At 42.3% G+C, this 25,710-nt stretch overlaps 1 protein-coding gene and 1 pseudogene across 20 annotated transcripts in view, besides 2 other annotated features; both read right to left on the bottom strand.

Moving 5' to 3' along the window:
* Window positions 2,523-2,702: a silencer, noted in NCBI's record as "fragment chr1:35594172-35594351 (GRCh37/hg19 assembly coordinates)". NCBI's record gives its function as "represses an EF-1alpha promoter that drives an FKBP-Casp9 reporter gene in an ReSE screen in K562 erythroleukemia cells {active_cell/tissue: K562}" and the evidence as "EXISTENCE:reporter gene assay evidence [ECO:0000049][PMID:32094911]".
* EFCAB14P1 (EF-hand calcium binding domain 14 pseudogene 1) lies at window positions 8,783-9,451 on the bottom strand (annotated as a pseudogene).
* Window positions 10,180-10,299: an enhancer, noted in NCBI's record as "active region_722". NCBI's record gives its function as "activates an Ori minimal core promoter by ATAC-STARR-seq in GM12878 lymphoblastoid cells {active_cell/tissue: GM12878}" and the evidence as "EXISTENCE:reporter gene assay evidence [ECO:0000049][PMID:35858748]".
* Window positions 12,455-25,710, bottom strand: part of ZMYM1 (zinc finger MYM-type containing 1) — a 59,033-nt gene continuing 45,777 nt past the window's right edge. For 9 of the 20 annotated variants that reach the window (NM_001289088.2, XM_047430777.1, NM_001289090.2 and 6 more), the window contains 4 exons: window positions 20,826-20,979; window positions 19,361-19,501; window positions 19,143-19,186; window positions 15,414-18,296 (listed from right to left, as the gene is read on the bottom strand). In NM_001289088.2, the coding sequence (NP_001276017.1) occupies window positions 16,014-18,296; window positions 19,143-19,186; window positions 19,361-19,501; window positions 20,826-20,979 (2,622 nt within the window). In that variant the 3' untranslated portion in view covers window positions 15,414-16,013. Of the gene's footprint in view, window positions 18,297-19,142; window positions 19,187-19,360; window positions 19,502-20,825; window positions 20,980-25,710 lie in introns of those variants that run through there. The other 11 variants (XM_047430815.1, XM_047430816.1, XM_011542166.4 and 8 more) reach the window with 6 other exon arrangements.

Below are 25,710 nucleotides of genomic sequence, written 5' to 3'. Positions count from 1 at the left end.
CGGTTATGTTATCTATAGATTACATTGTATAGAAAAGCACTGTGAAAATCCCTATCCTGTTTTGTTCCCATCTAATTACTGGTGCATGCAGCCCCCAGTCTTGTACCCCCTGCTTGCTCAATCGATCACGACCCTCTCACATGCACCCCCTTAGAGTTGTGAGCTCTTAAAAGGGACAGGAATTGCTCACTTGGGGAGCTTGTCTCTTGATACAGGAGTCTTGCTGATGCCCCTGGCCGAATAAACCCCTTCCTTCTTTAACTCGGTGTCTGAGGAGTTTTGTTTGCGGCTCGTCCTGCTACAGACAAATTCATAGAGACAGAAAGACAAGACATTATCAGATGTTGCGGTAGGTATGAATGGGAGATTTCTGTTTGGGGTGATAAAAAAATGTGTAAATGGATTGAAGTGATGGTTGGATAATATTGTGAATGTAATTAATGCCACTGAACTGTATACTTCAAATGGTTAAAGTGGCAAGTTAAAAAAAAAAAACACTCAATAAAAGAAGAGCTCCCCCAACACCTTAAGGAGATTAGAGGGCAGGCATACATGCAAATAATTACAATACAACGTGCTAATGTTATAATTGTGATGTATACAGAGTGTGAAGAGTTATAGGAGAGAGCTCATATGTTTGTGGGTGTTGGGAATTTGGAATAACCATGGTGGGTGCCGGAACCTCTCTCAGCTCAGTGTTAACAGGGTGTGGAAGGAAAATATCTTGGGTCCCCAAAATCACTGAGCTACAGGGAAAAGTCAAGCTGGGAGCTGCTGAGGGCAAACCTGCCTCCCATTCTATTCAAAGTCACCCCTCTGCTCACTGAGATAAATGCATATCTAACTGCCTCTTTTGGAGAGGCTGATCAGAAACTCAAAGGAATGCAACCATTTGTCTCTTATCTACCTATGACCTGGAAGGCCCCTCCCCACATCGAGTTGTCCTGCTTTTGCTTCGAGTTGTCGCACCTTTCTGACCCAAACCAATATTCATTTTACATATGTTGATTGCTGTCTCATGTCTCTCTAAAATGTATAAAACCAAGCTGTGCTCTGACCACCTTGGGCACATGTCATCAGGACTTTCTGAGGCTGTGTCACAGGCATGCGTCCTCAACTTTGGCAAAATAAACTTTCAAAATTAACTGAGATCTGTCTCAGATTTTCAGGGTTCACGTTTTGGTAACCATGAAGGGATTCTGAGTGGAGGTGCCCCTGACCTTGACAAACCTCCTATCAGTGCTTGGTACCAGCTTGAGCTATCTTTATGGCTCAAACAAATAGGACAACTTGCTGAGGCCTGGATCACCTCCTCCAGAGAATCCCTGATTTCCCAAGATTTGGTTGAGATCTAAAGTTGATTTTGCTGTACAACTTCCTTTTTTTTTTTTTTTTTTTTTTCAGTTTCACTTGCTTCCAACAAGGAAGGCAAATTTTCCAGCTTCCATGATGATGGAAAACAGGTTAACTCCTTTGCCGGGTTTGAGCTTGCTTCCAATAGGGAAGGTGAGTTTTTTTTTTTGTTTTCCTGCTTCTAGGATGGTAGAGAGCAGTCTTCAGCCTGAGACCCATCCCTAAGTAAGTAGCTGAATTGGGATTTTGTCTAGGCTAAAGTTAACAACCAGCTGGTCTTAATTTCTCTTTACTATTAGAGCACTCAGTAATCCATATAAGTTGTGGGGTTGTTTGTTTTGCTTAACTGTTTTTTGTTGTTGTTTGTGTCCATTTTTGTTGGTGCTTTGGTCCTTTTCCCATTGGGTTTGACCAACTTTATCTGACTTGATCAAATCCAAAGGAAAGTTCCAAATTATGGGGAACAAGGCCCTGAAATGGTTAAATTCTCCCCCCAACCCCCCCACACAAAGGTGGTATGGTGGGGGAGAAAAAACAGCCAGCAAAAGGAAAAAAAAAAAGAGGAAAGATTTTTTTATTTTGACTACTAAGGGGTTTATTTACATAACAAGGTCATGTTTTTGCCAGCCAGGCCAAACTGAAAGAGCAATAGCTGTACTTCTGAAATAGCAGCAAGTTGTCCTAGCTGAAATATGGTAATGAGGTTAAAAAAAATTTTTTTTAAAGGAGCTCAATGGTTAAAAGTCAGCTTAATTAAAAGCTAACATCCAAGATGTGTGTGTGATGGCTGGGTGCATTGGCTCACACCTGTAATCCCAGCAGGAGAATCTCTTGAAACTGGAAGGTGGAGGTTGCAGTGAGCCGAGATTGTGCCACTGCACTCTAGCCTGGGCAATAAGAGCAAAACTTCACCTCAAAAACAAAAAACAAAAAACAAAAAAAACCAACCAAACAAAAAACGTTGCTGATTCTTTTTTTTTTCATAGTAGTAAAATTTTTCTTTTAAGCTATTTACAGCTTTTAACAATCGAGTAAAGTATACTCCTATGAACAAAATTAGGAGCATATTTGTCTCTCTCTACCTGATTTCTACAGAATTTGGAAACTATTTGTGAGTATTCTTAACTTATGACAATACAATTGTTTGCATAAGTGCAATAAGAATCTGTTTTTGACTGGGTGTGGTGGCTCATGCCTGTAATCCCAGCACTTTGGGAGGCTGAGGCGGGCAAATCATGAGGTCAGAAGATCGAGACCATCCTGGCTATGGTGAAACCCTGTCTCTACTAAAAATACAAAAAATTAGCCAGGTGCAGTGGCGGGTGACTGTAGTCCCAGCTACTTGGGAGGCTGAGGCAGGAGGATGGCATGAACCGGGGAGGTGGAGCTTGCAGTGAGCCGAGATCGTGCCACTGCACTCCAGCCTGGGCGACAGTGCAAGACTCCATCTCAAAAAAAAAAAAAATCTGTTTTCATTTGTAACAGGACACAGTTGGAGAAACTGGATATTTTACCAAGGCTTTGACTTGAATGGTGTGCTTTCCTTTAAGGAATTGAACGTGACTTATGTAGCCAATAAAAGCCCCTTGGAAAAAACTGGCCTCATACTTTCATCTACACAGTCCCTGTACAGGGTTCCTGACCTGTGGTAAGTAAAGAATGTCACTTTCTGACAGGCCCAGGAGCCCCAGATATATCTTGGAACCTCAGAGGAGACGAATTCACCCAACTCGTAGGTATTTGATGATACAAATGCATGGCTGGGCTCACCTTTAAAAAAGTCTTATCTGAGATTCCTTCTACTGAACAAAGTTCCATCAAAGCCACTTTAAAAGCCTATGGAAAAAAATAATTGTTCTTGCTGCAGTGTATACAAATAATCAGGCCAAGTATAATAAAGCAAATCAGTCCTACCATGATTTGTCTTTAGTAAAAATGGGAAACTGGAGAGAGAAAAATTATGTTTCAAAAACTTTAGTACACCTGTTGTTAGATTCTAGTCTTGCCTAATGTTTACCAATTTTTATTTTTTTCTACACTTTGGACCGAATTCTAATTGTCTTGGCTACGAGCCTGCAAAATATTATTTTTAATTTTTTTTCTCCTCCTTTTTCTCCATTTTCCCTAATTTGGAGTCACTGAAAATCAAGCTGTGCTTTCTTTTCTTTTCTTTTTTGAGAGAGTTTCGCTCTTGTTGCCCAGGCTGGAGTGCAATGGCACGATCTCGGCTCACCGCAACCTCCGCCTCCCAAGTTCAAACGATTCTCCTGCCTTAGCCTCCCGAGTAACTGGGATTACAGGCATGCACCACCATGCCCAGCTAATTTTGTATTTTTAGTAGAGATGGAGTTTCTCCATGTTTGTCAGGCTGGTTGTGAACTCCCAACCTTAGGTGATCTGCCCACCTCAACCTCCCAAAGTGCTAGGATTACAGACGTGAGTCACTGAGCCTGGCCTAAGCTGTGCTTTCTTAAAGCCCTGCGAACTGAAGCTAGACAACTTAAATTTCAGAAGAAAATAACAACAACCTATTTACATAGATAAGCAGCTTTCATACCTGCCTACTGATGTATTGACTTCAGAGTATTGTGGCCTATATTGATTTTTCAGGATTGTTCTTTGTTTGTTGTTTTCTCCCTTCCTCCTCTATTTTGTCTTTATAGGACATGAGACTTCACAACCTTCTAAAAATGAGCTTTCTGGCCAGGTGCAGTGGCTCATGCCTGTAATCCCAGCACTTTGGGAGGTCTAGCAGGGTGGATCACTTGAGGTCAGGAGTTCAAGACCAGCCTAAGCAACATGGCAAAACCCTGTCTCTACTAAAAATATAAAAATTAGCCAGGTGTTGTGGCATGAGCCTATAGTCCCAGCTACTTGGGAGGCTGAGGCATGAGAATTGCTTGAGCTTGGGAGGCAGAGGTTGCAATAAGCCAAGATTGCACCACGGCACTCCAGCCTGGGTGACAGAGCAAGACTCTGTCTCCAAAAACAGGTTGGGGGGAAATGGAATTGTCATTTTATCTCTGAAAGGATATTATATTAAACAAAGAAAAGGGGATACAGAACTGCTGTACAGCCTCCTTAGAGGACTGAACAATAAGGAATATCATAGGCAACAGGAAGAGCTGAGATTTAAACAAAGAAAGAACTTCCCCAGGCCCTGGAACCAGTGGACAGGGAGATTTGAAGCATCTACTTCCCCAGGACATTTCAGTTCTTCTTTTACATACTGTGAATGGAAACGGTATTTTTTTAATAAGCAGCCAGATGGATCATCTGAGGTCAGGAGCTCAAGACCAGTCTGGCCAACATGGTGAAACCCTGTCTCTACTAAAAATACAAAATTAGCCAGGTGTGGTGGCTAGCACCTGTCATCCCAGCTACTTGGGAGGCTGAGGCAGGAGAATCGCTTGAACCTGGGAGGCAGAGGTTGCAGTGAGCCGATATCGTGCTATTGTACTCTAGCCTGGGCGATAAGAGCAAAGCTCCGTTTCCAAAAAAAAAAAGAAATAGAAAAAGCAGACAGAGAAAAAAGGCACAGCATGTAGAGAATAAAGATAAGAATGACAGCCAAGTTCTTAAAGAAAATAATGCAAGCAGAGGTAGTAAACTCCTTCAAAGTACTGAAAGAAAAGAAAACAACTATTAACCTCTAATTCTATACCCAGCAAAAATATCTTTCAAAACAAAATGCAGGCCATTTGCAGTGGCTCAAGCCTGTATTCCTAGCACTTTGGGAGGCCGAGGCGGGCAGATAACCTGAGGTCAGGAGTTCAAGACCAGCCTGACCAATATGGCAAAACTCTGTCTCTACTAAAAATACACAAAGTAGCTGAGCGTGGTAGCTCATGATTGTAATCCTAGTTACTCAGGAGGCTGAGGCAGGAGAATTGCTTGAATCTGGGAGGCAGAGGTTGCAGTGAGCTGAGATCACGCCACTGCACTGCAGCCTGGTGACAGAGTGGGACTCCGTCTCAAAAAAAAAAAAAATTAGCCCAGCATGGTGGCACATGCCTATAGTCCCAGCTACTTGGGAGGCTGAGGCAGGAGGATCACTTGAGCCCAGGAAATGGAGGTTGCAGTGAGCCGAGATTGAGCCACTGCACTCCAGCCTGGGGAACAGAGTGAGACTGTCTCAATTTAAAAAAAAAAGTAACTATGAGGGTTAACATAAAAGACTATTTAAAAAATTATTTACATGTCTTTAAAAGATAATTGCTTAAAGCAAAAAAAATGAGTTATGGGAGTTATAACATATGTAGAAGTATTGTATGATGAGTTCAAAAGTTGGGACGGCAGAAGTGGAAGTATATTGGTACAGGAGTCTCATCCTATACGTGAAGTAGTGTAATATCAATTGAAGGTGAATATGTATACTACATACCTGAAAGCAACCACTTATAAAACAAACAAACAAACAAAATGAAGTGTTATACTAATGATAAGAAAGGCGATAAATATATTTATTTATTTTTGGAGATGGAGTCTCGCTCTGTCACTAGGCTGGAGTACAGTGCCACAATCTCAGCTCACTGCAACCTCCGTCTCCCGGGTTCAAGTGATTCTCCTGCCTCAGCCTCCCAAGTAGCTGGGACTACAGGCACACGCCACCACGCCCAGCTAATTTTTTGTAGTTTTAGTAGAGACGGGGGGTTTCACCATGTTGGCCAGGATGGTCTTGATCTCTTGACCTCATGATCCACCCGCCTCAGCCTCCGAAAGTGCTGGGATTACAGGCTTGAGCCATCGTGCCCGGCCAGAAAGGAAAAAAAAAAAAAAAGAGAGAGAGAGAGAGAGAGAGAAAGGGGAACAAAGACACATTGGTCGAATAGAAAACAAATAGTAAAATGGTAGATTTGAGCCAGGTGCAGTGGCTTACGCCTGTAATCTCGCACTTTGGGAGGCTGAGGCAGGCAGATCACCTGAGGTCAGGAGTTCAAGTCCAGACTGGCCAACATAGTGAAACCCCATCTCTACTAAAAAACCACAAAATTAGCTGGGATTTGTGGTGCATGCCTATAATCCCAGCTACTCAGGAGGCTGAGGCAGAGGTTGCAGTGAGCCGAGACCACACCATTGCACTCCAGCTTGGGTGATAAGAGTGAAACTCCGTCTCAAAAAAAAAAAGATGGTAGATTTGAACTTGATCATATTAATAACCACATTTTTTTTTTTGGGACAGCATCTTGCTCTGTCACCCAGGCTGGAGTGCAGTGACACAATCTTGGCTCACTGCAGCCTTGACCTCCCAAGCTCAAGCGACCCTCCCACCTTAGCCTCCCAAGTAGGTGGGACTACAGTGCATGCCACCACACCCAGATAATTTTTTGCTTATTTTTTTTGCAGAGACTAGATCTCACTATGTTGCCCAGGACAGTCTTGAACTCCTGAGCTCAAGGGATCTGCCCACCTTGGCCTCCTGAAGTCCTGGGATTACAGGCATGAGCCACCATGCCTGGCCACATTAGATATAAATGGTCTAAATACCCCAATGAAAAACCAAAGATTGTCAGATCATACTGAATAAAAAAAGACCCAATCATATGCCACCTACATAAAGGCCACCTTAAATATAAAAATAGACATAAATTAAAATAGGCTTATATTTTGATAATATAATAATTAGGTGTGTACCCTTATAATAGGGGACAGTGGCTCATACCTATAATCCCATGTTTTGGGAGGCCAAGGTGGGAGGATTACGTGAGGCCAGGACTTTGAGGCTAGCCGATGCAACCCAGTGAGACCCCGTCTTTACAAAAGTTTAAAAATTAGCCAGGCATGGTGGCACATGCCTATAGACCTAGATAGGAGGCTGAGAAGGGAGGATCACTTGAGTCCAGAAGGTTGAGGCTGCAGTGAGCCATGATCATGCCTCTGTACTCCAGGATGGGTGATAGAGCAAGACCCTGTCTCCAAATAATAATAATAATGTTGGCTGGGCGCAGTGGCTCACGCCTGTTATCCCAGCATTTGGGAGGCTGAGGTGGGTGGGTGGATCACCTGAGGTCAGGAGTTCGAGACCAACCTAGCCAACATGGTGAAACCCCATCTCTACTAAAAATACAAAATTTAGCTGGGCGTGACGGTGCGTGCCTGTAATCCCAGCTACTCAGGAAGCTGAGGCAGGAGAATCGCTTGAACCCAGGAGGTGGAGGTTGCAGTGAGCCAAGATTGTGCCACTGCACTCCAGCGTGGGCGATAGAGTGAGACTCCATCTCAAAAAACAAATAAACAAAAAGACATACCTGTTCTAAACACTGCACACTTAATAAAGATTCAAAATACACAAAGCCAAAACTGCTAGAACTGCAGGAAAAATAGAGAAGTTCATAATTAAGTTTGGAGATTTCAGTATCCCTTCATAATCAATATACATTTAAATAACTCATAAAGGAGGAATCAAAAGGAAAATTAGAATTTTTTATTTTTTTGAGATGGAGAAATGGACAATTTAAAAAATTTTTTTTTTATGGTTAAATATTACTTTTATGTTTTAATTAATGAATTAATTTTTTTAAATTGAGATGGAGTCTTGCTCTGTCACCCAGGCTGGAGTGCAGTGGCGTGATCTCGGCTCACTGCCGAACTCTGCCGCTGGGTTCAAGCAATTCTCGTGCCTCAGCCTCTGGAGTATCTGGGATTACAGGTACATGCCACCAGGCCTGGCTAATTTTTTTTATTTTTAGTAGATGAGGGTTTTGCCCTGTTGGCCAGGCTGGTCTCAAACTCCTGACCTTGGGTGATCTGCCCACCTCGGCCTGCCAAAGTGCTGGGATTACAGGCGTGAGCCACCATGCCCAGATACTTTTATTTTTCTACCTATTTTGGTTTAGGACAGATGCCTCTGACTTGAATAGACCATCAGAGATGTGTAACATTAATTTTAGAAAACCACTCAGAGAGCTCCCTTAGGAAACAACACAAGTTTCTGCTTTCCCACCACCCATGCTTCTGGACCTGTGCTCGCAGAGAAGTCCTCTGTTATCAGGCTGGCTTCATAAGTCAGTCCCAGAATCTTTGAAGGCATGTTGATGCTGAAATGGAAAGGGTTTCAGTGCAATCTCTTCCAGCTTCATAGATGAAGCCCTAGGACAGAAGTAAACTTTCCTATTTACAGCAGGTCCTTGAATAATGTTTTGTTCAACGTCATTTGGTTATAACATTGAGGAGAAAAAAATCTGACTCCTGGCCGGGCCACTGTCTGTTTGCATGTTCTCCCCATGTTGGCGTGGGTTTTCTCCAGGTACTCCCACATCACAAAACTGTGCATGTTTGGTTAGTTGGCATGCGTAAATGGTCCCAGTCTGAGTGTGAGCGTGTGTATGAGTAAGCCCTGCGATGGGATGGCTTCCTGTCCAGGATTGGTTCCCGCTTTGCACTCTACGCTGCCAGGATAGGCTCTGGCCACTCATGACCCGACCCTGCACTGCTTATTCATTTCCGTGATGTTTATCCAGACTTTGTTCAAACTCATCTCTCCAGATTCAATCTTCTCAAGTTTTTTTTGCTTGCTGAATAGTTCTTCATTAAGTTTGGGGATTTCCTGGAATGAGCTTTTCTGATTAGATTCCATTGTTCGAAATTTTTCCTTGAGGGCATCCAGATCCTCCTTGAGAGCAACCTGCATCCACACCAAGCCAACACAGGCCACAACACAGGCAGAGAGGGTGACAAAACCACAGAGCGGATAGCAGATCTTGCAGCATCGTCAATAGCCTCCCTTGGCAAAGCGAGAGCGATTTCCAACCACACCGAATTCCTCTTCCTCCTTGGAGCTGGACTCAGAGTCTAAGTCAGGAGGCTCAGGGCGAAGCAGGCGGTGACTGCTTGGGCTTCTTTCTCTGGCTGTCCCCAGCCAAACCAATCAATACATTGAGCTCTTTGGGCATTTTCATCTTCTTGTGTGGGGTGAGTGGAGCCCCGACTCCTGAGCTGCCAGGTGCGCACCCGACGCCCAATTCTCTTCCTGCGTTAGAGCTGCCTTCCAGGGTTGGGGATCCTGGGCCAGAGCCCCCTAGTCACTCCGCCAGGGACTGGAGATTGGAGCCCAGAGGAAGCTGGAACTCAGATGGGTGGGGGAAGTCACATAGAAATGGCCAAGGAGCTGATGACCCCAAGGATAAGGGCTGGTGGGCAGAGCGTTAGTAAAGAGGGTGGAAAGGGACCTTTATCTCCCAAAGGGCGAAAAAAGCCAAGTCAAAAATGAAGGATTCTCAGCCCTGATGAGTAGGCAATACTTCTAAGGGTGCTGCTCCAGGAGCTGGGGAAGGGCACACAAAATAGATGTTTTGGACCTCCGGGGCAGAATTTTCAATGGAGAGGGAAGAGAAACTTATTTATTTATTTATTTATTTATTTTTTCTTTGAGACGGAGTCTCGCTCTGTCGCCCAGGCTGGAGTGCAGTGGCACGATCTCCACTCACTGCAAGCTCCGCCTCCCTGGTTCACACCATTCTCCTGCCTCAGCCTCCTGAGTAGCTGGGACTACAGGCGCCTGCCACCACGCCCGGCTAATGTTTTTGTATTTTTAGTAGAGACGGGGTTTCACTGTGTTGGCCAGTATGGTCTCGATCTCCTGACCTCGTGATTCGCCTGCCTCGGCCTCCCAAAGTGCTGGGATTACAGGTGTGAGCCACCGCGCCCGGCCGAGAAACTTATTCTTGAGTGGGAAGAGTGGGGAGGTGCAGAGCAAGAACGTGGGAACGCGTCAGTCCCTTCCTAGCAGAAGAGGTGGCGGCAGGAGGGAGCTCCCAGCAGCTACAACCCCAACACTGCTTGGCCGCGGAGAAAATGCCCAGGCCAGGAAGCCGGCTGGGGTGTGTGATGATCACCGTTCTCTGGCCTCTGTCCTGAAAGTGAAAGGGGCCCGAGGCTGAGAAAGATCCGGAGCCCGGCTCTAAGGGCTCATCCTGAGAGAAGCCAGTCCCGCGCCTACGAGACCTCCGCCCCGCTGTCTGGGCCTGGGGGTCGCCGTGCGGCGGGCTACGGCTGCTCAGCCAACCGATAGCGCTTCCGCCTGGAGTTTGAGGTCTCAGGCAGGGGCAACTCTCAGTCACTCAAACGCGCAGGCCCTACTCTAGCCGCAACTCTGGCCCCTGCTCCGGCTCTGGCCGCGGCTGCTCCCTACACGTTGTTGTTATTGTGGGCGGTGGAGGCCGCGGGCTCCAGACCCAGGCCATCGCTCCGGCCCCATATTTTTAAAAATTTATTTATTGAGACAGTGTCTTACTCTATCATCCAGGCTGGAGTGCAGTGGTACAGTCACAGCTCACTACAGCCTCGACCTCCTGGGCTCAAGCAATCCTCCCACGTTTGCCTTCTAAGTAGCTGGGACTACAGGTGCGAGCCACCACGTCCAGCTTTTTTTATTTTTTGCAGAGACGGGGTCTCACTATGTTGCCCAGGCGCTTTTAGCTTGTTTTGAAACATCATGTTAATTTTCACCTGTTTGGTAGGGATTTACTTTGCTGTTTTCTATGCAATTTTGTATTATATTTCATAATCTTTTTCTGTTGCTTACTTTCACGTGAAATGCATTTTCCTGTACTTATTGGGAGAGACACGACAGAATAGCTTTTCTAGCCTCAAGGCTCATGAAGTTCTATTATTTTCAGAAAGTGACTAAAATAGCCTAATACTTTGAGATGTTTCCTCTGCTTCTCTCTCACTTCTGTCTATACCTTTTCTTTCTTTTACCTCTTATTGTCACTGTCCTGCTCAATTTGGAATCTACAACCTCAGAGGGGTTTTGTTTTGGAATGAAGCTCAAATTTGTTAGTTTCAAGAGTTCATGAGAACCTAGACCACTACATCTTCAGAACTTAGCACCATCCCCACAAACTCACGGGCAAATTGGAGTCTATAGAAACCTTCTGTGTTTTGACTGTTGCTAGAATTTTTTTTTTTTTTTTTGAGATGGGAGTCTCATTGGTTCTGTTGCCCAGGCTGGAGTGCAGTGGCAGGATCTCAGCTCACTCCAACCTTCACCTCCTGGGTTCAAGCGATTCTCCTGCCTCAGCCTCCCAAGTAACTTGGATTACAGGTGCCTGCCACCACCACGCCTGGCTCATTTTTGTATTATTAGTAGAGATGGGGTTTCACCAGTTGGCCTGGCTGGTTTCAAACTCCTGACCTCAGGTGATTCACTGTCTCTGCCTCCCAAACAGTTGGGATTACAGGCGTGAGGTACCACACCTGGTTCCAATTTTTTAAATTTTATTTTTGGCCTACCATGCTTTCCAGTGAAAACATGTTGACTTGAGGGCTCTCCTATTCTTAATGCCATCAGATGTCCCATTGCCTTTCCTCCACGGCTTTCCACACAGATGTCCCAAGCAGATCTTATAGCTGCTTTTGTCACTATCTGATCATATTTTGGGATTGTGGAGATACCTTGTCACAAAGATTAGCAGTAGATGCTGTGCATGGATTTCTGCTTTAACTCTCCTAGTTGCTGTTTTTATGAAGGGATTTGGGGAGATTAACAAAAATGACACAACTATTTCTGACTTTTTTTTTTTTCTGTGACAGAGTCTCACTCTGTTGCCTAGGCTGGAGTGCAGTAGCGCAATCTTGGCTCACTGCAACCTCTGCCTCTCACGTTCAAGCGATTCCCGTCTCAGCCTCCCAAGTAGCTGGGAATACAGGTGTGCACCACCATGCCTGGCTCATTTTTTTGTATTTTTAGTAGAGATGGGGTCTCACCATATTGGTCAGACTGGTCTTGAACTCGTGGCCTCAGGTGATCCACCTGCCTCGGCCTCCCAAAGTATTGGGATTACAGGTGTGAGCCACCATGCCCAGCCATCTATTTTTTAATGGACTTCTGATAATCTTTTATTTAGGAATATTTATAAGTGATAATGGTTGTCTAAGAGGTAGTAGAGCATGGTGATTGACAGCATGGGCTTTGGAGTCAGACTACCTGGGTACAAATCCAGTTTCACCCCTATTAGTTGTGTAATCCATAATGTGTTTTTTTAGTTTCTTCTGTAAAATAATAGGTTGTTATGAGAACTAAATGAAATAATATATGTAAAACACTGAGGGAAGTACTAGGTTACTTAATAGGCTAATAGGCATTCAACCAAGATAGCTGTTATACTTAATGTAAGTTTATTTTTTACATTATTGGCTGTATAATAGACTACAAGAATAGAAAACAAACACTTGAAAATGAAAACAAGAACACCAACCTCGATTTTTTTTTTGAGATGGAGTCTTGCTCTGTGGCCCAGGCTGGAGTGCTGTGGTGCGATCCCGGCTCACTGCAAGCTCCGCCTCCCGGGTTCACGCCATTCTCCTGCCTCAGCCTCCCCAGTAGCTGGGACTACAGGCACCCACCACTGCGCCTGGCTAATTTTTTTTAGTAGAGACGGGGTTTCACCATGGTCTCGATCTCCTGACCTCGTGATCCGCCCACCTCGGCCTCCCAAAGTGCTGGGATTACAGGCGTGAGCCACCATGCCTGGCCCAACTTCTTGATTTTATGACAAGATAGAAACTACAACTAAAAACAGCTAGAAAATGATGAAAATGAAAAAACACATGGTTGACCAAGCTGACTTTAGAGGAAAGTTCATAGCCTTAAGCACTTCCATTAAAAGAATGAAAATATATGCAACACACATTCAATACTAGAGTTAACTTCTATTTTCTTTTTTTTTTTTTTTTTTGAGACGGAGTTTCACTCTTGTCGCCCAGGCTGGAGTGCAATGGCACGATCTTGGCTCACTGCAACCTCTGCCTCCTGGGTTCAAGTGATTCTCCTGCCTTAGCCTCCTGAGTAGCTGGAATTACAGGCACCCACCACCACACCTGGCTCATTTTTTTTGTATTTTTAGTAGAGATGGGGTTTCACCATGTTGGCCAGGCTGGTCTTGAATTCTTGACCTTGTGATCCGCCTGCCTTAGCCTCCCAAAGTGTTGGGATTATAGGCGTGAGCTACCGTCCCCAGCCTATTTTCTCTCTTTTTTGAAACGGAGTTTCTCTCTTGTTGCCCAGACTAGAGTGCAATTGCACGATCTCAGCTCACTGCAACCACAGCCTTTGGGGTTCAAGCTATTCTCCCGTCTCAGCCTCCCGAGTAGCTGGTATTACAGGCATGTGCCACCACGCCCGGCTAATTTTATAGTTTTAGTAGAGACGGGGTTTCTCCATGTTAGTCAGGCTGGTCTTGAACTCCCGACCTCAAGTGATCTGCCCGCCTCGGCCTCCCAAAGTACTGTGATTACAAGTGTGAGCCACTGCGCCAGGCCTGTTTTCTCTTTTTTAAGGTGGAAATCAATAAATTAGGGCCGGGCATGGTGGCTTATGCCTGTAATCCCAGCACTTTGGGAGGCCAAGGTGGGTGGATCACCTGAGGTCAGGAGTTCGAGACCAGCCTGGCCAACATGGTGAAACCCCATCTCTACTAAAAATACAAAAAAATGAGCCAGGCGTGGTGGTGGGCACCTGTAATCCCATATACTTGGGAAGCTGAGGCAGGAGAATCACTTGAACCCGCGAGGTGGAGGTTGCAGTGAGCCAATATCACGCCACCGTACACTCCAGCCTGGGCAACAGAGCGAGACTCCGTCTTAAAAAATGAAAGAAAGAAAGTAAAACAGGTATATAGAAGATACTGAGAATATTTTCTACAACTCTAGGCAAATGCATTTGAAAGAAAGCCTCAATGAAATAGATGTTCTCCTAGAAAAAGTACAAGTTATCAAAATTGATGAGAGGGTAAGGGAGAAACAGCTGGAGAAAAGTGCCAGAGAAATAGTCTTTAAAAAAAAAAAAAAGGCCGGGCGCGGTGGCTCACGCCTGTAATCCCAGCACTTTGGGAGGCCGAGGCGGGCGGATCACGAGGTCAGGAGATCGAGACCACGGTGAAACCCCGTCTCTACTAAAAATACAAAAAATTAGCCGGGCACAGTGGCGGGCGCCTGTAGTCCCAGCTACTCGGGAGGCTGAGGCAGGAGAATGGCGTGAACCCGGAAGGCGGAGCTTGCAGTGAGCGGAGATCGCGCCACAGCACTCCCGCCTGGGCGACAGAGCGAGACTCCGTCTCAAAAAAAAAAAAAAAAAAAAAAAAAATTCCAGGCCTAGATATATATACCACTTAATTCTTTCAAATCTTTGAATATCACATTTTCTTTGTTATTTAAACTTTTCTGGCTGGGCGTGGTGGCTTATGCCATAATCCCAGCACTTTGGGAGGCCCAGGTGGGCGTATTACCTGACGTCAGGAGTTCAAGACCAGCCTGGCTAACATGGTGAAACCCCATCTCTACTAAAAATACAAAAATTAGCCAGGCGTGGTGGCGTGCGCCTGTCATCCCAGCTACTTGGGAGGCTGAGGCAGGACAATCACTTGAACCTGGGAGGCGGAGGTTGCAGTGAGCCGAGATCATACCATTGCACTCCAGTCTGGGCAACAAGAGCAAAACTCCATCTCAAAACAAAAACAAAACTTTTTTGAAGTATAAAGAAATAGTCTTTTCTTTGCAGGTTACTTAAATATAGTTATATTTTCATAACATGGCTTAATAATTTATTGTGCCATCCAGCTGAGATGTATAAATCAAAACCACAGCAGTGATTTTAACGTTTAAACAGGACAGTCTACAAAAAAGGAAATACAAATGGCTCAAACAAATAAACAGATACCTAACTTCATTCTTGTTTGTTTTAAAGAGATAAGGTCTCACTCTGTTGCCTAGACTCTGGAGCATAGTGGTGCAATCATGGCTCACTGCAGCCTCAAATTTCTGGGCTTAAGCAATCCTCCTGCCTCAGCCTCCCAAGTAGCTGGGACTTCGGGTGTGCAGTACCACACTTCACTAATTTAAAAAAAAAAAAATTGTAGTGATGAGGTCTTACTATGTTGCCAACCTCATCTTGAACTCGTGGCCTCAAGCGATCTTCCTTCCTGTGTAGGCCCTCAAAGGGCTGAGATTATAGGTGTGAACCACCACGCCCAGTCCCCAACCTTATTCTTAAGTGAATATACAAAATTCTACTGAGATTAAAACGCCATTTTTAAAGTAAGAGATTAGGAAAGATCAAAACATTTGATAACACTTACAAAGATTTAATAGGCACTCTCATGCATTGTGGGTGGGACTGTAAACTGGCACAATCCTTATAGATGGCAACTTGCCAATATCTATCAAAAGTAAAAATGCACATATCTTAACCTAGTAATTCTAACTTTAGATTTCCAGCTTACAGTAAACTCACTCATGTGCAATGTGACCTATATAAAAGGTTATAAAATGAATCATTATTTATAATAGCAAAAGGTTAGGAAAAAAATGTCAGCAGGGACTGCTCAAATATATTATGGTACATTCATACAATAACATCTGCAATTATAGACCAAGAATCAAGAAACTCTTCATGTAACGACATGGGACAATCTCAAAAATATGTTACACAGAGAAGACAAGCTGAAGAACAGTATACACCGTACAATACCACTTAGGAAAAATACCTCTAGAGGGATATTTAAGGAAAAGATAACACTTTTTGGGAAGAGAAAATGAGTTCTAAAGGAGGGAAGGAGACTTCACTGTTTATCGTTCTGTGTCTTTTGAATTTTGAACAATTTTGAAATGAAAACATCCCAATGGAAATACAAGTCTTTTAGGTAAGTTCAAATGAGCATGTATTATATTTCTTTCATCTGACTGATAAACTTTTCCACAATTTCATTGAGTCTTTCAGGCTCCATTAGTTTATTTACCAACTCCTGCTCAACAGCCATTAGGGCTGGGCCAGTAAGCTTCTCTTGTCCCATGGTATTACATAAATATGTCTTAAGACGAGGCAGGGTAGAAAATGAGTTCTCAGTACTTGCTGAAGTAATTGGCCAAGACAAAGCAATATATAATAGCTTTGAGAGACAAGGAATATTACTGTGAAGACCATGCTGAATAAACAAACAGCCGAGACTGACGAAGTTTATGCAACTATCATCTATGACAAAGTTAAGCTTTGCATAATGTCGATAAAATCTAAGTTCTGGGATAATGTCCTCATCAAGTTTATAAAATTCCTGAACATGTTTTGCTGTTGTTTCATTTAATGGTTCATTCCATTTAAATAACAGTTCTGAAATTTGCTTTATTTTGCAATAATCAAACTCCGAAAAACATAACTTTAAATTTTGTAATATAGTATCTAATCCTTGGTAATAGATATTAATTTTATATTGTTCTTCTGTTGAAGTAGGAAAAAACATATTATCTGAATTGCCAAGATCTACTGATTTCTGAATTTTTCTTCTTTTCTGAAGAGAAGGTTTTTCAACTTTAAAACCTTTACAGGTTATTTTTTGACATATTTCCTCTGTTCCATCCCAGATTGTTTTAAAGTATACGTCATTTCTTTCAGATGATAAACATTCCAAAATTGCTTCTATTTTTGAAGACAAAGAAAAAATGTCTATGGTTTTATTTTGAAGCTCTTTGGAAAGAATTCCTGTAACACTCAGCACTCGATACAGGAATTTCAAACAAAAGACAAATTCAAATTTGGAAACCAATGTCAGCAAATGACTCAATTCATCGGCGAAACTTGTATTTGAAGAATGGCTTGCTATAACTTCCAATGTTTCAATAATCTCTGGAAGACTGTCAATCACAGATAGTAATGTACGATCATGGACTGTCCAACATGATTGTGATATATGTTTCTTGCATGTTTTGTTTTGACTTAGCCTATAAATGTTTCGAAAATTTGCCAACATTTCCCCAGACATACAAATAGTGTTGAACAAAGAACTGAGAGTTTTTAGAGCACTTCGGAGTTCTTTTACTTCTTTACAAAACCTAATTATTGATAAATCCAAAAAGTGTGCATAACAATGTATGTATAAAGCTCTTGGTTCTTCTTTCTTGAATTCTGCTGCTATTTTATTAAATTTTATCTTCAAATTAGTGGTGCTATCATAGGCCTGGCCATGTATTTTATCCATATCAACTCCAATTTGCTGCAGATAAGTTTTGATAGTCCTATGTAAGTGGGTCCCAGTCATCTCCTCAGTATCAACAAAACCCAAGAATCTTTCCTTAATTAAGATAGCCTTTGATGATTTTTGTGGGTATCTTACACAAATTGAAAGCTGTTCTTTCATGGCACTATTGATTGTCTCATCACATATGATTGAAAATGCTGAGGAGTCATTGATCTCATTCACAATATCCTGCAACATTTCAGTCTTTATTATTTCGATAATATCACTTTGAATTTGTGTACTGTTATAGAAGTCAACTTGTGAATTCATAAGTCGAAATGTTTCTTCTCCTTTATCTTTTGCTCTCATTTCTAACAATTCTAAAAAATTGCCTTTATTCACAGATGAAACTGACTGGTCGTTTCCTCTTAAGGGTAAACACTGCTTTCCAAGAAATAAAATATTTTCAATTATAAGCTTTAGGTACTTTTTATTTCCCTCAATCTGTTTCGAATGAATAGATAAATCGTCACTGACAGCTCCATCACAAAATTGGTATTCTCTCCAAAATTCCAATGACTTCAAATGCATTTCACTTTTTTCATGCTTTCTGAATTTTTCCAGGGTTTTTTTCCAATTAGAAGTTCCGTGGGTTGCAAATGACTCTCTTCCACAGCTAAAATATTTTTGGCAGAACAACTGGCATGAATAACAGAATGCCACATCTTTTTTACTGTTTTCCAAACACTCAAAATCTGCACAACAAGATTTTTTAATACTTCGTGATTTACCTTTAACTTTTTGTACTTTGGATGTACATTTTGGGTGACATAGTTCATCACTTATTTTCATAGATTTCATATTGTCTTTTTGTACTTCTGTACTGGAACCAATTGCATGCTGACTGAATACTGATGAAGATGGTGAAACGCTTGGCTGTTCCGTACTACTACTAGCAACAGCATTACTGGGTTCACTAGGTGAACTCTTAGAAAGCTTTGGGAGAAAATGAGAAAAGAACATTTAACAGTTTTCAAAAATTAATTAAAATATCAAATATATCTACTCTAATAACATAGTAAAATAAATGGCTGAGTTACAGTATGAGCTCCACTAGGGGGAAACGTTAACAATTACGTATAACTTATTTATTTGCAATCTAGATTCAGCATTAAATGTTTGAAGGACCTTTTGGTATGTAATTGTCATAAAAATAATTTTTATTGCTCAGATGACTCAAATTGTGTAGTATTTTTTTAAAAGAAGAACCCAGAGGAAAAAAATACTTCTGTTTAAACAATCTACAAACATACACACACACCCCATATATGAATACATAATACATAAAATATATATTAAATATATAAATATAATATATAATAAATATACATTATAATATATTTATATTATATACAATATATTATAATATATTTATATTATATATTTATATTTTTATATATTATAGTATATATTATATATATATATAAAAAATCTGGGCCAGGTGTGGTGGCTCATGCCTGTAATCCCAGCACTTTGGGAGGCCAAGGTGGGCGGATCACCTGAGGCCAGCAGTTCGAGACCAGGTTGGCCAACATGGTGAAACCCCTTCTCTACTAAAAATACAAAAATTAACTGGGCATGGTAGCAGGCGCTGGTAATCCCAGCTACTCAGGAGGCTGAGGCAGGAGAATCGCTTGAACCCAGGAGGCAAAGGTTGCAGTGAGCTGAGATCACGCCACTGCACTCCAGCTTGGGTGGCAGAGCGAGACTCTGTCTCAACAACAACAACAACAAAAATCTGCTTATTAAAAAAAGACAGTGGTAAAAAAAGTTAAAACTTACATCCACAATGACATCTGCTGTTGCTGTTACTGAAGAAACTGTATCTGTTAAAATAGAGCATAAATTCAAGATCTTATATACTATAACCTATAAAATAGCATCATAAACTATATTTGCTTATTTCATATAAGAAACAAAAAGAAAATTTAGCATATAGACAGATTTATCAAGTATGACAAAACAATATTTATGTCAAATATCTTAACATCAACTTTTACCTTGTAAGACATCAGTGTTCATGATGGGCAAGGCAACATCGGTGTCTGCCAATGACACTATATTGCTTATAACTGGAGTCGTATCTTTCTTTGGAGAAAGAAGCTCTGTTGAAGTATCATGCACCACAGAAACAACACTTACTGACAACAATAAAAAGATTTCTTATAAACAAGGCAAAATCAATCATCAGAAAGTACTGTTTAGTAATACTGTTTAAAGAAATAATGCAAGCATCTAATAGCTTAAGGAATTGGTAGGTACTGAAGTAATTTTTATTAGGGCTTAGGAATAGCCAGGTTCTTTAGTATCGTATTTATAATTACAACATTACACTGAAAATTTACACTTCTCCAACATTTTATGTCTTTTACCTTTGTACACAATTTCCCAGTCCTTTTAAAGAATTTGTTTAAAATTATGAGCAAATTTTTCTGTGAAATTACTCATGAAGAAAAGAGATTCTGATTGAATCTCCTAATGGGCATCTATTTCAAACTCTTCCAGGATTCATAAACCTTAACATCAATGGAGCGCTAGGTTGGTGCCCAAGCCACTATTGCAGAAATTTCTGTAACAAGCCAGTTTGTATGACTTACAAATCCCAGAGGCATTAGTCACTCTATGGTCTATGTAAATAGCACCACTGGTCCTACATGAGGCTTTTTGATGGAATACTTAGTTGGCTCAGATTATTTGTGCTTTTTTATTATTGAGTCTTAAAGCATTTACAATCACTTCTATTTCATGTGAAAAATGTAATGAAAACTTGTTTTTACAAAACAGGGCTAAGTAAAACATTCTATATTCTAATAAAAGCAGTCTTGTAAATGTATTAAACTCTATATTGACCAAGTGCCTCCTATGTACCATGTTTTGCAGTAGGTGCTCAATATATATTGATGTAAACATACATATATTCATTTACTAAATAATCTAAAAAAAGACATGTATCTTTTAATTTTTATTATTATTATTTTTGAGATGGAGTCTCACTCTGTCACCCAGACTGGAGTGCAATGGTGCGATCTCGGCTCACTGCAACCTCCACCACCCAGGTTCAAATGATTCTCCTGTCTCAGCCTCCTAAGTAGCTGGGACTACAGGGACCCACCAACACGCCCAGCTAATTTTTTTTGTATTTTTAGTAGAGACGGGGTTTCAACATGTTGCCCAGGCTGGTCTCAAACTCCTGACCTCAGGCGATCTGCCCACTTTGGCCTCCCAAAGTGCTGGGAATACAGGCATGAGCCACCGTGCTTGGCCTACAAATATTAAATCTCTGGTGGTAAAGTAGCCTTCCTTTTATACAAAAATACTGAAAAACAGTTCTTTGCAACAAGTTTAGATTGTTTTGACTTTTAAAAGTCGGTTTAATTTGAAAATGAATCAAGGTTATAAATTAAAGTCAAATAATATTATTTATTAATAATTACTAAACCCCTACAATTGCTAAACAAACATTACCTGAAGAAGATTCCATCTTAGCTTTACTGTATGCAGAGAAACAATTAATAGAGCAGAAAAGCTCTGTCTTCCCCAAATCACTCGTAGTCTCAATCATTTCATCTGAGGGCTTCAATGGTTTGCAAGGAACAGATATAAGTGGTTTGGCAGGTTTCTGTTTAGAGATTAAAATAATATTCATATTCCTGGTATATGATATGTTGTTAATGAAGAAGAACCTATTACCACTGCTTTTAGTTGGAATATTAAAAAGAATAACAATTAAGACAGTTTTTACATTTTCTTAAAAAGACACTACAGATTGCAATAACTAAAAGAATATTGGCAAATCTGAAAATGATTTTTATTATTTATCAGATATATTTAACAGCAATAATAATAATACCTATGAAAGCAGTAAGGCCAGGTGCAGTGGCTCATGCATGTAATCCCAGCACTTTGGGAGGCCAAAGCAGGCAGATCACCTGAGGTCAGGAGTTCGAGACCAGCCTGGCCAACATAGTGAAATCCCGTCTCTACTAAAAATACAAAAAATTAGCTAGGTGTAGTGGCGAGCGCCTGTAATCACAGTTACTCAGGAGGCTGAGGCAGGAGAATCACTTGAACCTGGGTGGCAGAGGTTGCAGTGAGCTGAGATTGTGACACTGCACTCCAGCCTGGGCAACAAGAGTGAAACTCCTTTTCAAGGGAAAAAAAAAAAAGCAATGAAGAAAGTGGTCACAGAAGTTCATTTCAGGCAGTCAAAGCCTACTGGATAAACAAAGGCCTTATATAGTTATAGATCTGTCCTCAATGGTAGCTTGGGAATTAACTTGGGAAGATGTCTACCGATGCTGAGGAGGAGCCAGGAAGGAGTGCTTAACTTAAATACCTTACAAGATACTGTGGGAATCACTGTTTTTCTAGGCTAACTTCATGGTAAAAATTACAAGCATATTGTAAGAAAGCAGCATACAAGCAATAGAAAGTATAGAGTACTGTGAGTTCAGTAAGTAGTAACCATGCAAAAGAAAGGATATAAACTTTGAAAGGCAGGCATTACTGTAAAGATTATGCTCACCACCTATTCTTTCTAGTCAAACAGGAACCAATATTCCTGGATTTCAGAATATGTCAGAGCCTAGGCACAGTGGCTCACGCCTGTAATCTCAACTTTCAGAGGTTGAGGCGGGGGGATCACTTGAACCCAGGAGTTTGAGACCAGACTGGTAAAATAGTGATACCTCATCTCTAATAAATAAATAAATAAAAATAAAAAATTAGCCTAGTGTGGTGGCGTGCGCCTGTAGTCCCATTTACTTGTGAGGCTGAGGTGGGAAGGATCACTTGAGCCCAGGAAGACAGAGGTTGCAGTGAGCCGAGATCATGCCATTGCACTCCAGCCTGGGTGACAGAGTAAGACTCTGTCTCAAAAAAAGAAAGAAAAAATAATACATCAGGCTCAGTGTGGTGGCTCTTGCCCGTAATCCCAGCACTTTGGGAGGCTAAGGCAGGAAGATCACTTGAGCCCAGGAGTTCGAGACCAGCCTAGGCAGCAAAGTGAGACCCATCTCTACAAAAAACACAAACATTAACCAGGTGTGGTGGCGCATGCCTGTGGTCCCAGCTACATGGGAGGCTGAGGCAGGAGGATTGCTTGAACACCTGAGGTTGGGCCTCCAGTGAGCTTTGCTCACACCATGCACTCCAGCCTCCATCCTGGGTGGAAAAGCAAGACTCAGTCTAAAAAAAAAAAAAAAAAAAAAAAATCACCGATGGAACAAAACTGCTTTTGGAGATGCAAAGTACACAGACAGGCTGGGCACGGTGACTCACACCTGTAATCCCAGCACTTTGGCAGGCCGAGGCGGGCAGATCATCTGAGGTCAGGAGTTCAAGACCAGCCTGGCCAACATGGTGGAACCCCGTCTCTACAAAAATACAAAAATTAGCTGGGTGTGGTGGTGTGCGCCCAAGTAACCCCAGCTACTTGGGAGGCTGAGATGGAAGAATTGCTTGAACCTGGGAGGCGGAGGTTGCAGTGAGCTGAGATCGTGCCATTGCACGCCAGCCTGGGCAACAGAGCAAGACTGTGTCTCAAAAAAACAAAAACAAAACAAAACAAAACCCACCAAAGTACAAAGACAAAAAAATACATATACGTTTTATTTTTCTGTGAGAGAACAGGATATTGGCAAAGGCACAACAAAACAAAAAGGATAATTTCGAAAATTTCTATTTTTATCCTTTATTAGTATGAACAACTTTTATATTTTGAGAAATCTTAACAATTCACTAATCTTTAACGTTAAGCAACAATAGTGGCATAATTTATTTTTATTTATTTATTTATTTTTGAGACAGAGTCTTGCTCTGTTGTCCAGGCTGGAGTGCAGTGGTATGATCTCGGCTCACTACAACCTTTACCTTCCCCAGGTTCAAGCAATTCTCCTGCCTCAGCCTCCCGGGTAGCTGGGATTATTAGGTGTGTGCCACTATGCCCGGCTAATTTTTGTATTTTTAGTAGAGATGGAGTTTCACCATGTTGGCCAGGCTGGTCTTGAACTCCTGACCTCAAGTGATCCTCCCGTTTGGCCTCCCAAAGTGCTGGGATTACAGGCGTGAGCCACCGCACCTGGCCCAATAGTGGTATCATTTATAATTAAGTTAGTTTAATATTCATAAGGGAAGGCTAACTTAATATATTCTATTAACATATGGCCAAAATAATTACAATTACATCTAATAATCCACTTTTTAAAAATAAAAAGCTACCCCATTTTTAGATTCACATATTTGGACATTTTTCTAATTCTGGATTATAGTTCACTAACATTGTAGATTTACTCCATTATCACTGTCACATGATGTCTTACATTCAGATGCAAGGGGAAAGTGTTAGGCTGTGCTTGTTAACTAACTCGTTTACCCAAATCAGTCTTGCCCCATCACATAAGCTGAACAACTGGGTACTCAATACAGGTTTTTTTTTTTTTTTCTGAGACAGAGTCTCGCTCTGTCGCCCAGGCTGGAGTGCAGTGGCACGATCTCGGCTCACTGCAAGCTCCGCCTCCCGGGTTCATGCCATTCTCCTGCCTCAGCCTCCAGAGTAGCTGGGACTACAGGCGCCCGCCACCACACCCCGCTAATTTTTTTTTTTTTTTGTATTTTTAGTAACGATGGGGTTTCACCATGTTAGCCAGGATGGTCTCGATCTCCTGACCTCGTGATCCACCCGCCTCAGCCTCCCAAAGTGCTGGGATTACAGGCGTGACCCACCGTGCCCGGCATATAGGCTTTTAAAAACAGAACAAGGCCGGCCAGGCGCGGTGGCTCACACCTGTAATCCCAGCACTTTGGGAGGCCGAGGCGGGCGGATCACGAGGTCAGGAGATTGAGACCATCCTGGCTAACACGGTGAAACCCTGTCTCTACTAAAAATACAAAAAATTAGCCAGACGTGGTGGTGGGCACCTGTAGTCCCAGCTGCTCGCGAGGCTGAGATACGAGAATGGCGTGAACCCGCGAGGCGGAGCTTGCAGTGAGCTGAGATTGCGCCACTGCACTCCAGCCTGGGCGACAGAGCGAGACTCCGTCTCAAAAAACAAACAACAACAACAACAACAACAAAAAACAACCCAGAACAAGGCCTATTGAGTGTCAAAAAGAAAGAAAGAAAAAAAAAGGAATATTATTTCCTGCCTTTGGGAGAAGTCTTCTGTGCTTTCCGTTCTGGTCCCAAGGCAGGATACTCTCAAGATGGGGGCCATAGAAAAGATGTGAGTCACAAATGATCTATTTGAATTATGGCTTGTTTTGACTCCCATCTTCAACTGCTTTTTTTTTTTTTTTTTTTTTTTGAGACGGAGTCTCACTCTGTCGCCTAGGCTGGAGTGCAATGGTGCCATCTCGGCTCACTGCAACCTCCACCTCCCGGGTTCAAGAGATTTTCCTGCCTCAGCCTCCCAAGTAGTTGGGATTATAGGCGCCTGCCACCATGCCCAGCTAATTTTGGTATTCTTAGTAGAGGCGGGTTTTCGCCATGTTGGCCAGGCTGGTCTCCAACTCCTGACCTCAGGTGATCGGCCAGCCTCGGCCTCCCAAAGTGCTGGGATTATAGGCATCAGCCACTGCACCCGGCCAACTGCTTGTTTTTAAGGAAGTCTGTATAGGGATAGAGTTGGGTCTCAAAATATGATATGAACAAGCAACATATCTAAGAAGTCCCACCTCATCTCATTTGCTCTTTCTCTGCTCTCAGAAGCACCCACCCAGAGCTTGTCTATCAGAAATAGGGACAAATAATACTAATCTCACTGGATTATTTCCTCCTATGACTGACTCAGAGAAAGCATGTGATATTTTTTGTTTGTTTTTTTAAAGACAGGTTCTTGCTATGTTGCTCAGGCTGGTTCTGAACTCCTGGCTCAACTGAACCTCCCGCCTTGGTCTCCCAAAGTGCTGAGATAACAGGTGTAAGCCACCATGACTGTCCACATGTGACATTCTTGATTCATCTTTGCATTGTTTGGTGTAAGAGTTAAACACGTGGAATTAAAAACAAAAACATGGCTAGGCTCACATCTGTAATCCCAGCACCTTAGGAGACCAAGGCAGGAGGATCAGCTGAGTTCAGGAGTTGTAAGACAAGCTTGGGCAACATAGTAAGAGCTTGTCTCTACAAAAAAATTAAAAATTAGCCAGGTGTGGTGGTGTGTGCCTGTAGTTCCAGCTACTCGGGACGCTGAGGTGGGAGGATCACTTGAGCTAAGGAGGTCAAGGCTACAGTGAGCCATGATTGCCACTGCACTCCAAGCTGGCTGACAAAGACCTCGTCTCAAAAAAATCAAAATAAATAAAAAAAATAAATAGCTGGGCACAGTGGCTTACGCCTGTAATCCCAGTT

The sequence above is a fragment of the Homo sapiens genome, chromosome 1, assembly GCF_000001405.40.
Source record: "Homo sapiens chromosome 1, GRCh38.p14 Primary Assembly".
In the NCBI taxonomy this organism is placed as follows: domain Eukaryota; kingdom Metazoa; phylum Chordata; class Mammalia; order Primates; family Hominidae; genus Homo; species Homo sapiens.
This window is presented reverse-complemented; position numbering and strand designations above follow the sequence as displayed.